General features: G+C 49.1%; 1 protein-coding gene and 1 pseudogene across 13 annotated transcripts in view; both read right to left on the bottom strand.

The window, feature by feature from the left end:
* EPB41L1 (erythrocyte membrane protein band 4.1 like 1) overlaps positions 1-13,386 on the bottom strand; it is a 141,386-nt gene that overhangs the window by 105,938 nt on the left and 22,062 nt on the right. The window contains exon 3 of one of the 13 annotated variants that reach the window (NM_001258330.1): positions 1,335-1,439. The exons of 11 other annotated variants lie outside the window; for them this stretch is intronic. In NM_001258330.1, the coding sequence (NP_001245259.1) occupies positions 1,335-1,418 (84 nt within the window). In that variant the 5' untranslated portion in view covers positions 1,419-1,439. Of the gene's footprint in view, positions 1-1,334; positions 1,440-13,062; positions 13,170-13,386 lie in introns of all 13 variants that reach the window. One more of the 13 variants, NM_001258329.1, reaches the window with a different exon arrangement.
* LOC124904977 (uncharacterized) lies at positions 5,790-5,900 on the bottom strand (annotated as a pseudogene).

Below are 13,386 nucleotides of genomic sequence, written 5' to 3'. Positions count from 1 at the left end.
TCTCTTGTTCCCATCCATAAGGAAAATTAGACGGGTAATCTAAGACCTAAGTTTCTCTGGAATGTGAGCTTCCAGTCCACACCAATCAAGAAAATAACAGAGAGAGGGAGCACGCAGGAGCTTACCTTTCACCACTCTTGAAAAGTTGCCTAGTCTTGGTCCAGAGCCGTGGAATAAATACACAAAACATTCCACTGGCCAGGCACGGTGGCTCACGCCTGTAATCCCAGCACTTTGGGAGGCCGAGGCGGGCGGATCATCCGAGGTCGGGAGTTTGAGACCAGCCTGACCAACATGGAGAAACCCAGTCTCTACTAAAAATACAAAATTAGCTGGGCGTGGTGGCACATGCCTGTAATCCCAGCTATTTGGGAGGCTGAGTTAGGAGAATCGCTTGAACCCGGGAGGCAGAGGTTGCAGTGAGCCGAGATCACGCCATTGCACTCCAGCCTGGGCAACAAGAGTGAAACTCTGTCTCAAAAAAAAAAAAAAAAAAAATTCCACTAACTGGAACTGCCTTTTTGTACATGCTTTGAAGAAAATCACAAGAAAACTGATAGACTCTGAAATACAGCTTCCAAATAAAATCCCCAGCTTTGTTACCACCAAAGGAGGCCAAGCTGCCACCCCTCCTTAGGAGGTATGCACGGTGTCCCCACAGGAGGCCTTCCTCATCCCTAATGGAGGAGTCATCATTCAGAGATTTTAGAAAGATTTTCTACACAGAGAGTCAGATAAAAGAGAGGTTTCTCAGGGAGCTACTGAATTCCCAGAAAAGTCAAACTACAGGCATCAAAACCCACATGCACTGTCCATACTTTCGGTTTTATAATCTCGTCAGCCCCCCATCGAGAAAGTCTGCAGCCATCTAGGACAAGTTCCTTTCTTCCCCCTCCCTTCCCCAAGACCCATCGGCCCCACACTGTCCGTTCTCTGTCTCTACTCACTCTGTGATCTGTTCCCTCTTCTACACTTCCATGAGCCTGAGATGAAGCCCATCACTTCTCACCAGGCCACACCAACAGACTACCATCCGTCTCCTGGTCTCCAGCCTTACCCTTCCAATTCATCCTCCCACTGCCAGAAATCAGATCACATCATTCCCAACCTGATACCCTGCAGTGTCTTCATCGCTCTCCAGATAAAGTGCCAGCTCCTGGTCAATATACACGGGCTGCAGGAGCTGGACCCACCTGCCACTCCACTTGCCTCCTTGCCGTCCCCAACACACACAGGAAACTCCTGCCACTCCAAAGTGTTTCATGCCTCTGTGCACTTGTGGTTCAATCTACCTTTCTGAATCCCCCACTGTTGAATGGAAGATAATAGCTCACCTTTACTGAGCGCTCAGTAGGTGCTAGGCTCTCTGCTAAGCCCTTTGCAGGTTCTACCTCATTGATCCTCCCCAAGAAAACCATGAGGCAGGTACGAACAGCAGCCTGTTTACAGATGAAGAAACAGAATCAGAAATGCAAATGAACCTAGCAGAAGTCACACGGTTGATAAGGGGAGGGGCTCAAATAGAAATCCAAGCATCTGACTCTTAGGTCACCCCTATCCTCCACTCCCCAGAAACAATGTAATGGCCATGTGGAATCAGAAAACACAGGATGCTCCTAACTGTGTCCCCTCCTTCTGGGCCTGTAGGAATAGCCTGTCTCAGAGAATGACACCAGAAAGGTTCCCAGCCTGTCTCTCTCTGGGTTTGTCCCCAACCCTGCAACCCCACCACCATACAGCACAGCCCCTTGAGTACGCAAAGTGGCTGAGCCCACATCTTAGAAGTAGGGCTTTATAGTTACATTAATGGCCCAGCAATGACTTCCAGCTACTCTTTCAGGAAGTCTAAACTCTTTGGCTGAGCATCAGGGACCCCCAAGATCTGGCACGAGTGCATCACTTTCCAATCTTAATTACCCGCTGCCTCCCCTACCCACCATGTATGCAATCTATCAGTGGGTATTTATTTTCTCTGCCATGTCAGTTCTCACTAAAAGCTGCCATTTATTGAGCACCTCCTAAGAGCCATACCCTATGCCAGGCACTCAACCAGCACTCTCTCATTTCCTTACAATTCATTCATTCATTCATCCAATAGATACTTATTGAATACCTACTGTGCGCCATGCCACATGGAATCAAGAGTGAACATGACATTAAAAGAAAAAGACAAATAGCTACAAATTGTGATAAGCATTATGAAGGAATCAAGAGGTGGTGAAAAAAGCAGTGCAGGGGGTGGGAGGACTAAATTAAACTGCGACGTAGAGGATAAGAAGGAGCCAAGGCGGCAAAGAGCCAGGAAAAGAATTCTAAGCAGAGGGAACCTAAGCATGTGTAAAGGTCTTGAGACTGGAATAAATTTGCTAAATGAACAGAGAAGACTCCTGTGGCTGACGGAAATGACCAATAGAATAATTTCCAATGATCTATGGAGACCAATAGAGATAGATGGCTGGAAGGGGGAGGCAGGAACCGGCTCACTCAGGGCTCTGAACGCCATGGTAAGGAATTTAGATTTTATTCTAAGGGCAGAGGAAAGTCACTGAGTGACATAGTCAGATTTGTGTTTTTTGGGTTTTTTGTTTTGTTTTGTTTTGTTTTTTTGAGACGGAGTCTCACTCTGTCGCCCAGGCTGGAGTGCAGTGGCGCGATCTCGGCTCACTGCAAGCTCTGCATCCCGGGTTCACACCATTCTCCTGCCTCAGCCTCCCGAGTAGCTGGGACTACAGGCGCCCACCACCACACCCGGCTAATTTCTTTTTTTTTGTATTTTTAGTAGAGACGGGGTTTCACCATGTTAGCCAGGATGGTCTCGATCTCCTGACTTCGTGATCCGCCCACCTCAGACTCCCAAAGTGTTGGGATTACAGGTGTGGGCCACTGCACCCAGCCAAATTTGTGTTTTACAAAGTTCACTCTGGCTGCCACTTGGAAAGGAGACTTGGGAATATAGATGGTGTATGTATTGTATGCAAAGTAATTGGCATAGCACTGGCACATAGGTGCTCACTGAATGTTAATTCCCTTTTTCTTCTCTCTCTAGCCCCCATCTCAGGCTGGGAATGTCCTCTTCATCTAACTCCCATTCCTTCTTCTGACCTATACATTGTCAGAACTTAAATTTTCTGCCCAAGCGCAGTGGCTCACTCCTATAATCCAAGCACTTTGGGAAGCCAAGGTGGGTGGATCACCTGAGGTCAGGTGTTTGAGACCAGCCTGGCCAACATGGCAAAACCCTGTCTCTACAAAAATTAGCCAGGTATGATGGTGGATGCCTGTAATACCAGCTACTTGGGAAGCTGAGGCAGGAGAATCACTTGAACCCAGGAGGCGGAGGTTGCAGCGAGCCAAGATTGCGCCACTGCACTCTAGCCTAGGCAACAGAGCGAGATTCTGTCTCAAAAACAAACAAACAAACAAAAAAACCAGAACTTAAATTTTCTGAGGACATGTGATCTGGAAGACATGTGTCTTCCTCGTTAGATCGGGAAACTGAGGTGCAGCGAAAGTACACAATTTTCCCAGTGTCACAGAGGGGGCCTGTAGCAGTGGTGGAATTTTTCTGCCTTCCCCTCTTCCCCCAAACTAGACCCTGGGCTGGTCTGAAGGTCGGGAGGAACAGGAGGCAGCAAGTGCGAGGGCCTTTCCTCTGTATTCTTGTTCTCTACCTCTGCCCCTCCCCCCCGATCATGGAGACGTTCAGAAAGCCTGGTTCTCAGTCAATTATGGTCTCAGGGTAAGTGGAGCATGGGAGGGGGCCTAGAGAAAGCCCCATCTCTAGGTATCCTCTCTCCTTCTGCTTGAACCAGATAAGGGCAGGCCAGACTATAGAAAGAAAACTTTCCCATGGAGACTGGATGCTTGCTAGGATGTTGGCTGATCCTATCGACATCTCCAGGAAGCGAGCAAGGGTCGAGGCACTCATTTTACCCAGGTGGAACCTGTGGCAGTCAGTGCTCTATCGTTTGTTCAGGGATGGAGAGAAAATCGTAGAACCCCAACTAGAATCATACAACGTGGCTGTCTGAGGATCACTGAGCCCAAAGCCCCATTGTACAGGTGCTGAAACTGAGGTCCAAGAAGGGAAAGGGGCTGGCCAAGGGCCACATACCGAGTAAGCAGTGGAACCAGGACTAGAAGTCTGCGTGGCTTCTGCCTTCCAGTTTCCCAGGAAGCCTCCCTTGAGAAAGGTAGAAAAGGCGGCAGAAGTGAGGCTGGGATTTGGGGGTATGGGGGTAAGGACAGGGCAGCACTGCCTCCTCAGGCCTGCTCCACCCCAGCTCCCAGCCATCGCACTGCTCATGGGTGTGGCCAAACCTGCCAAACCAGTCTCTGTGCCAGAGCTGAGTAGCAAAGCCCAGAGCTTCAGGGGTGTGGGTGAGGCGGTAGACACCAAGAACCAGGAAGGACACAGAAAGGCTCTTCCAGGGCCTGCTAGCCTAGGCCACATGGCCACTGCCCAGAGAAAGGATGGGCGCTCACAGCTGAGCGGCTCCACCACCAGGAATGGTGTACAGCAGGACTCACCAGGCCTCCTGTCCCCATTTGGCACAAAGGCCGGCCCTCTGCATCGCCCCCTCCTCTGGACACTCAACCTATAGGCTGTTTGCGTCAGTTGGGCAAGAGACCCAGGAACTTATCTGAGAAACATGACAGGAGGCAGGGAAACATGACAAATGACATGGAGACACTTCTCCCCCCACAACCATAGCATCGGGATAAAATGTGGCCACTCTCCACCTGGCCAGGTGCACACACGCTCTATCCTTTGCCCTCCCCTACTCCGTGAGCAAGGCCCAGGAACAGCTGAGCACACGACACCAGGCAGGGATCAGTAGATCTGGGTTCCAGCATAGTTTGGTGACACCTGGCAAAGTCTTGGGGAAAGCTGCCCTTCTCGGGCTTTGGTTTCACCACCCTTCACAAGGCAGAACTAGGTTAAGTGCGTAGTTTCAGGGGCCTTGAAGGTCTGCTCTCACTCCACCTCCACTCCAGCCTTCCCCACTTCCTGCCCAAAGGAAATAATAAGAGGTTACACCCACCAGTGTATGGGGTCCCTGCTGGACAGGTCTGGCTTCTGTGTCAGGGTCTGCCTTGCTGGAACCTGTTCCGTCAGCTCTCAGAAGCCAGCAGGAGACCCCTCGGGCTTCAGTGTGGGGAAGCTGATGAGCTACTCAGCCCAGTGGTCACTTCCAGGGCCTGTGAGACCCAGGAACCAAATGTTAGAAAGGAAGGGACCTTGGAATCAGCCTGGGCTCCTGTGAGCACATGACACATAGGCCAGGCAAATGCCCCACAAATGCCAGGGACTGTTCTCATCTCCCCTTTTGGTAGATGGGGAGGAAGAGGACCAGAGAGAGGCAAGAACCAGCCTAAGGTCACCCAGCATGGCCACAGAAGAGGAAGGATCACAGCCCAAGCCTGACCCCCAGCACATGGGCTCCCAGCACATGCTACCTCCCCCAACAGAGGTATTTTTCCAAATTCAAAATCATGCATCCCATGGAAGAACCAAGAGACATCTTTGTCACTACCCCTTGGGAAATGCCAGAGAACGATATGAAGTTCTGCTTTCGGGCTGCTATAACCAAACACCATCAACTGGGTGGCTCATAAACAACAAAAATGTGTTTCTCACATTTTTGTGAGAAGTCAAAGATCAGGGTGCCAGCAGATTCCGTGTCTACTGAGGGCTGCTTTCTGGTCCAGAGATGGCTCCTTCTAGTCATCATATGGTAGAAAGGAAATCTAGCTCTCTGAGATCGCTCTCTTTTTTTTTTTTTTCATGTCAGACAGGTAATGCGTTCACATTGTACATTGTAACAAGGTTTGAAGGCGGCACATCTCACCCCCATGCGTGAACACCCAATCATCATGCTCATGAACTACCAAAGGCTCTGGGATCTTTTATAGGGACATTAATCCCATTCGTGAAGGTGGAGCCCTCATGACCTCATCACCTCCCAAAGGCCCCACCTCCTAAAACCATTACCTTGGCGGTTAGGATCTCAACAAATAAATTATAAGGGGACACTAACATCCAGACCATAGCATGTGTTTACCTGCCATGTGTGCCTCTGTATCCCAGTACATAGGACAGTGTTTGGAGTATGGTAGGAACTCCAATAAAATTGGAGTTTTTAATAAAAATTTGCGGACTAAATCAGGACCCAGTGGAGGAGCAGCTGGAGGCAGAATCCATTTCTAGGCCCAAGCACTGGGGTGGTCGGTAGGAGAAAGAGAAACAGATGAGAGAGAAAATATGAATCTGGTTGTCCAGGGCTCAGGCTCCAGCCAGGCTACATCAAACAGACAGGGACACGGTTGGCCTAGAGCTTCAGAAATCCTAGATTCAAAGGCAAAAGGCAGATTGCCCGTCACATGGAATGTATGGACTTCAAGGCCTGTGTGTGCTTCTGTGGTTTGCCAAGTTCACCGGACCAGTCCCTCTTTGCTCACTCAGTCTTCAGCTGGACTGACTGCCCTTTTCCTCCTGTGTGCTCTACAGTCCAGCGGATAAGACTCAGCACAGCCTCTGGTTTTGAATCCCAGCTTCACCAATACTTAGGCAAATTATGACACCTTTCCGTGCCTCAGTTTCCTGATCTGCCAACTAGGGATTATACTATAACCCATTTCTTAGGATGAGGATTAAATGACTTTAAGTGATACAGAAATGAATCACTTATAACCACGCCTGGCTTAGAGTAGGGGCTTGGTAAATGGTCATCTGTTTTAATGGTTATTAGCGCTTAGTGCTAATGTTACCGACAGTTTCTAGCTGTGATCAGCTGAAGGCCAGAACAGCAATGTCAGGGGTGGACTCAGACTGAGGAGGGCTACTTGGAGTGATGAAGCAAGGACTAGCTTGGTCTGGGAGAGAGGACCCCTGGGCTCAAGTTCACCTCTATCAGGCTCACCGTGTGACCAGCGCAGAGGGTACAGAGGAGGAGGGCGGGCAGGGAGAGTGGTATTGAAGAAAGGGCTGAAATGGGCTTGCCCTGGATGGAGGGCAGTGGGCAATCTAGCATTGTTCCTCGCCTGCTTAAAATTCATCAGTGACTCCTCCTGTTCTTCTGAATCAAAGCCAGCCCTAATCTCATCACAGGATTCAAGGGCACCCTGGACTGACATGAAGATACCCTACCCTGCCCACCTTGTCCCTTTCCTTCCCTTCCCCTCCCTTCCCCTCCTCTCCCCTCCCCTCCCCTCCTCTCCCCTCCGCTTCCCTTCCCTTCCTTCCTGCTTTCTTGCTTTCTTTCGAGATGGAGTCTTGCTCTGTCACCCAGGCTGGGGTGCAGTGGCTCAATCTCGACTCTCTGCAACCCTACCAGGTTCAAGCGATTCTCCTGCTTCAGCCTCCTGAGTAGCTGGGATTACAGGCGTGCACCACCATACCTGGCTAATTTTTGTATTTTTAGTGGAGATGGGGTTTCACATGTTGGCCAGGCTGTTCTCAAACTACTGACCTCCAGCGATCTGCCCACCTCAGCCTCCCAAAGTGCTGGGATTACAGGCGTGAGCCACCACACCCAGCCACACCTTGCCCTTTCTTTTGGCCATCTTTCTGATCCTTCCTGGTCCAGTCAGCTGTCAGCCTCCAGGGCAGTCACCCTGCTCTCCCCAGGGCTGGCCAGAGCCCCTTTGGGCATTGCAGCCCCTGAGCCCACCTCCCTTCAGTACTAATCACACCATAGTCATGTGTGATTAGTCATGTCAGTGCTTGGTTCTTCATCCCAGTCTCCCTCTCAACTACTGGGGAATGAGAGAGGTCTTGTCACATTGATATCAGTATCTCAGCATCTCAGGGATAGCTCAGTTATAGAAGAAGTGCTTGGTTAAGGTTTGCTTAATGAATCAAGGGCTGGAGAAGATAGCATAAAAACTTATTTCAACTCTCTAAAACTCTAATTCAATTGCCCTAGGTAAGTCATTTCATCTTTCCAGGCCTCTGTTTCTTTATCTGTTAAATGGGGATCATTATTCTTGCCCTAAGTCCTCCTTACAGCTGCTGTGAGGATCAAACAAATGTGCTTTATAAGATGTTCTTATATCAAAACAAAATTTTTAAGTAAAATAAATAAATAAATTTACATTCATTAATGCATTCATTCAACAAATATCTATTAAGCATCTATTAAGCACCTACATGTGCAGGGCATGCTCTAATATAATCCCAGGTATTCTTTTTTAAAAAAATTGAGATATAATTCATACGCCATAAAATGTACCACTTTACAGCATACAATTCACTCCTCTTGAGTATATTTACATACGGAGTTGTGCAATCATCATCACTAATTCCAGAATCCCAGTTGTTCTGGCAAGTGCTGAGCTGTAAACTCCAATGCTCCTTAGGAACCTGGGTCTCTGGTTCTGGTTTGGCCCAGGTGCTACTTTTCTGACAAAGCTTAAGGTGCCCCTTGGAAGATATTCTCTGGGATAGAAGTAGAGCAAAAGATAGGCACTCAGTACACTCTGTGTTTCTTTTTTTTTTTTTGAGATGGAGTCTTGTTCTTGTAGTCCAGGCTGGAGTGCAGTGGCTCGATCTTGGCTCACTGCAACCTCCACCTCCCAGGTCCCAGTTCAAGCAATTCTCCTGCCTCAGCCTCCCAAGTAGCTGGGATTATAGGCACGCACCATCTGTGTTTTATTTAATGAAACAAAGCAGTAGATTTTCCTGGGGAAAGGCCCATCGTATTAGTCCAGTCCAAGCCTTTTCTTAGCCTTGCCTCTCTAAGCTGTCCTGAATGCAGCGATTGTGCTGACCCTTGCCTCAGTTTCCCTGTCTATTCCCTCAGCAGCAAGCAGGCTGAAACCCATTCATCCAACATCCCACAGAGGGATGCCCCCCTAACAAATGGCTAATCTTGTCTACTTTGTCAGAAGGAAAAGACTAGCCTGTTATGTTAGCTGAGATTGGCAAGAGCAGTGGATTGGGACTGGATTTGGGGAACTCTCAAATACAGAAGTGGTGAGTGAGGCTTTACTCTGGAGGCCTTAGGAAGCCTGGAAGGTCTGAACTGGGGACATGACTCCTCCCCCACACTGGGCTGAACCAGAGAGGGAGTCCTGGATGTAGAGAGGGACTAAGAGGCCAGCCAGAGGCTGTCCCAGTAGCTGTCAGCACTGGGCACTGAGAAGTAAGGTCAGGATTCCTGGACACTGGCTTCTATCTTCTAGCCCTGCTCTGTCTGTGTAACCTTGGAGAAGTTACTTACCTTCTCTGAGCCTCAGTTAACCCACCCACAAAATGGGGATAATTATACCCTTCCTGCCTTATCTCTCAGGATTACAAGGAAAATCAGATGAGATGATAAATTGAAAAGCCCTTTGTAGAAAAGAATATGAAGGACTTTGATTCTAGTTCTAGTGTGAGCCAGGTGATAAGGGCCATGGGGTTGAAGGATCCTAAGGACAGAAGAATTATGAAAGAATTCTTCTGTCCTCTGCCTCTTTTCCCCTTACAGAAATGCTGGAATTCCTTCAAGAAGGATTGGAGAAATCCAGGGACTCCAGAGACTGTAAGAGTCACAGAAGAAATACTGGATGTCTGGACCTTACGTGGGCAACATTCCTGAGGCCTGAGTCCCCCAGAGACACCCCTCCAGCTCTCAGGCAGGCAGCAATCCAGGACGAATGATCTGCTACCATGTAGAAGAGAGGATGGAGAGCAGCTAGGGTAGCCAGAGTCAGCATTTCAGAGCCACTGCCACAGGAGGAGGAATTGGTGGGCAAGAGCAGGGGAGGGAAGGGGCAGTTTTCCATGTTGAGTCTCCACACTTATGTCCCTCCTTCAGCAGACAATGGCACAGCCATTCATATTTCATGTGACAACTGCATTTGTCATCATTTTCCTCCTCTGAACCTCAAGTTCCTCATCTGCAAAATGGGGTAATAAAACCCCTGACTCACTGTGAGTCCAGCTCAAGAAAAATAACTGCTATTCTTCTATCCTTTGAAACTGAGAGAGCACCTAGCACTACATCATACTCTTCCCCCAATTTCCCACCTGTGTTGTTTGGAGAAAAATCCAAAGGCACTTTAGGGACAGAGCCCAGGCCTCTGGGGGCATTATCCAACTTCTGACAAATGGATGAGATTAGCTAAGGGAGGGCACAGGAGAAAGGAGCCCCTCCATGGGTGAGAGGCATATGCTTCAGCCTGCTGTCCAGGGAGGACATGGAGAACCCTCCTGAATGGCTAGTCCAGCCATTCTGGTGCCTGGAGCACTGTGCTGTCTGGAGAAAGTGCTGATCCCCGGGGAATGGACCATTTTTCCTGCCATTCACCACCAGGAAGAAGGGAATGAAGCACTGACAGCTGTTGGTGCCCAGGTGCCTTGTCTACCCTCCAGATAGGGCCTGCCCACCTCACATCAGGAGGAAAGGAAGGAAATGGGCACCTGTGTTGAGCTCTCCTGGAGAAGATCAAACCTCTTCACGTCTCAGAAGAGAACAGTCTGGAAGAAGAAGGCACCTTCTGTGGGGCCTGAAAGCACAGCTGGCCACAACACCCCTCATCCTCACCCCCAACTCAGCTCTTTGGTTCCCCCAAACTTCACTACCCCTGCTTCTCTCTTCCAAACCTTCCTGGAGATCCCTCCCTGAACTGAATGTCCAAATCCTAGTTCCCCTCAACTTAGATCAAATGTCCCCTTCTCCCCCTTTCCCTGACCTCTCTCCTCTAAACTCCAGTTGCATTTTTCCTGTCCCTCTCAGTGGCAATTTGCATGCTGACTGTGTCACAATCACATCTGCACACATGTATTCCCCTCTAGGGGACATAGCTGACTGCACTGGGTTGTAGTACAGGCTCTGGAGCTAGGCAGACCTGAACTCAAATAACAGCTTTGCAGTTTCTTAGTCACTTATTCCCTCTGAGCCTCAGTTTCCCCTGGAAAATGGGGACAATAACAGAACCTACTCTCTGGAGTTGTTGTTGCAACTATTATTATTATTATATTTTTGAGACAGTCTTATTCTGTCACCCAGGCTGGAATGCAGTCATACGATTGCGACTCACTGCAACCTCCACCTCCCGAGTTCAAGCAATTCTCCTGTCTCAGCCTCCTGAGTGGCTGGGATTACAGGCATGCTCCACCACGCCTGGCTAATTTTTGTATTTTTAGTAGAGACGGGGTTTCACCATGTTGGTCAGACTAGTCTCAAACTCCCGACCTCAATTGATCCACCTGCCTCGGCCTCCCAAAGTGCTGGGATTACAGGTGTGAGCCACAGCACCTGGACTGTTGCTGCAATTAAATGAGATAATGCACATAAAGAGTTCAGCATGGAGCCTGGCACAATGTAAGTAATGTGACTTATTGTGATGATGACCTTTCAGGCAGGTTTATGGATGATTTGTCTTGACATCTCCTGAAACACCTAACACACAGCCATATGCTGGCTGGATGGATTTGTATGGAGGTAGACATGTGCACTGCATAGGGAAGCCCTTTCCAACAGGCAGAGCAGTGCAACCTGGAACTGGGCTGCCTCTGTAAGTCGTGAGCTCCGTGCATACAAGCAAAGGCAAGATGGCCACTTGGCCTACCAAACAGAGGCTGGAGATGCAATAGTCAGAGCATGGTCTCTGAAGCCAGACACCTTGGGCTTGAAACCCAGCTCCCTTACTTACTCAAAGTGTGGCCTTAACTTAACAGGGCCTCAGTTTCCTCATCGATAATATGGGGAAATAATAGTAATAATAGGACCTACCCAAAGACTGTCATGACAGTTAAATGAAAGAATACACATAAAACAATAGAACATGCCTGGTACAGGGAGAGTAATTCAATGCACATTAGCTATTGTTATTATTGTTGGCATTTGCATTACTATAACTGAAGAGGGGAGTTACAGCCCCCTGCAGGCCTATGAGCTGTTACAACCTAGAGCTCCACTAATATCCTAGCATGTTCTCGTGGTCTGCCAACAGCCTTCTACTCCCCCGGTGTCTGGTGCTAGCTCTGCCCCTACGTTAGCTACATAGGTAGGCACCTGACCCACACCTGGCCACTCAGAATATTCCTATCCTCCCAGCAACAGTGATTGAACCACTCAGAGTCCTTCCCTTGGATTGACATACAGATTCTAGAAGAAAAAGAGTCTCCCTTTTCTGTTTGGATTGCTAAGCTGGGACACAGGACAGCTTAAAAGGGAGAGACAGGCAGTGATGGCAGAGAGAGAGTCAACCTGATTCTTCATTCTTCAGTCCCATGAACTGCCCCAGGATCCACTAAAGTCATTTTTTGGTTTAAAGCCACTTTGAGTTAAGTTTTTGTCACTGGTTTCTGGAAAAAAGCCATGCCCAATTGTATAGACCCTAACTAAGATAAGGTCAGTGCTGTCCATGGGCAGGGCCAAGCAGAAGCCAGTATTATAACTACTCTTGTGTATGTGGCACCACCCCTATCACCTGGGTTGCAGTGGGCAGTTTTCAAAGCATGTTCTCAAGAATACCCTGACCCAGTGGTCTTTAGACCCTGCTTCCTAGAGCCCTGGGAATTTGCAGAGGTATCTCCAAAAGCACCCAGGAAACTAAGCCACGAGGAGGGCAAAATTCTGGGTAAACTGCCCCAGAACCAGACAAGTTCTGCTACAAATGCTTACAATATGGGTTTCTGTTGCCCAAAGAGATTTGAAAAACTCTATTCTAATTGACACTTAGAAAAGCACTGAGAAGTAGCTAGGGCGGATGTGTTCATCTGCATTCTACAGAAGGAGAAATGAGGGTTCAGAAAGGGGAAGTCATGAGACCATTACTGTAGAGCAAGAACTTGAATGTGGGGCTCTAGACACACGGCCAACTAGCTCCGACTGCACCCAGCTGCCTGTGAAAGTCTATTATCTCTCACATTTCCTGTCTCCTTCAGTAAACTGATGGTGGTTAATACCTAGAGTCTCATCTTTCTTGGCTCTGACTCCTACAGAATTGTCTGCTTCTGAGCTTGGCTCCTTGAAAGGCTTCAGGAAGCTTGAGGAACGTGTGGAATAAATGTATGAGCCGATCTCAACCTCCCCTTAACGGAGCCCCACCTTCCCTATGCGCACATACCTTGAGCTCCGCATCTCCCCACACATTTGCCCAAATGTCAGGGAAAGGCTGAGCAGGCTCCCTCCCGGGAACTCCTAATCCACCTCCTCTGTCCGGCTGTGCTGTGGCTGTGGACAGAGGATTCCTTGTTCCCGATGCTTCCTGCCCAGAGATCTCCATGGGGCCCCTGTAGGAAGGAGCCAAATCGCTCCTTTTAACCGAGCTAAAGCCACCCCCTACCCCCACCACCCCCAGGAGCAACATGCTCCCAGCTCTGCCCACCATTCATTCTACCTGTCCCAGCCTGGCTCAGCCACACTTCATTCCCCATAGTTCCCGCTCCCT

Source organism: Homo sapiens, chromosome 20 (assembly GCF_000001405.40).
Source record: "Homo sapiens chromosome 20, GRCh38.p14 Primary Assembly".
Lineage (NCBI taxonomy): Eukaryota > Metazoa > Chordata > Mammalia > Primates > Hominidae > Homo > Homo sapiens.
The sequence above is the reverse complement of the archived record's forward strand: the minus strand, read 5'-3'. Positions and strand labels throughout refer to the sequence as shown.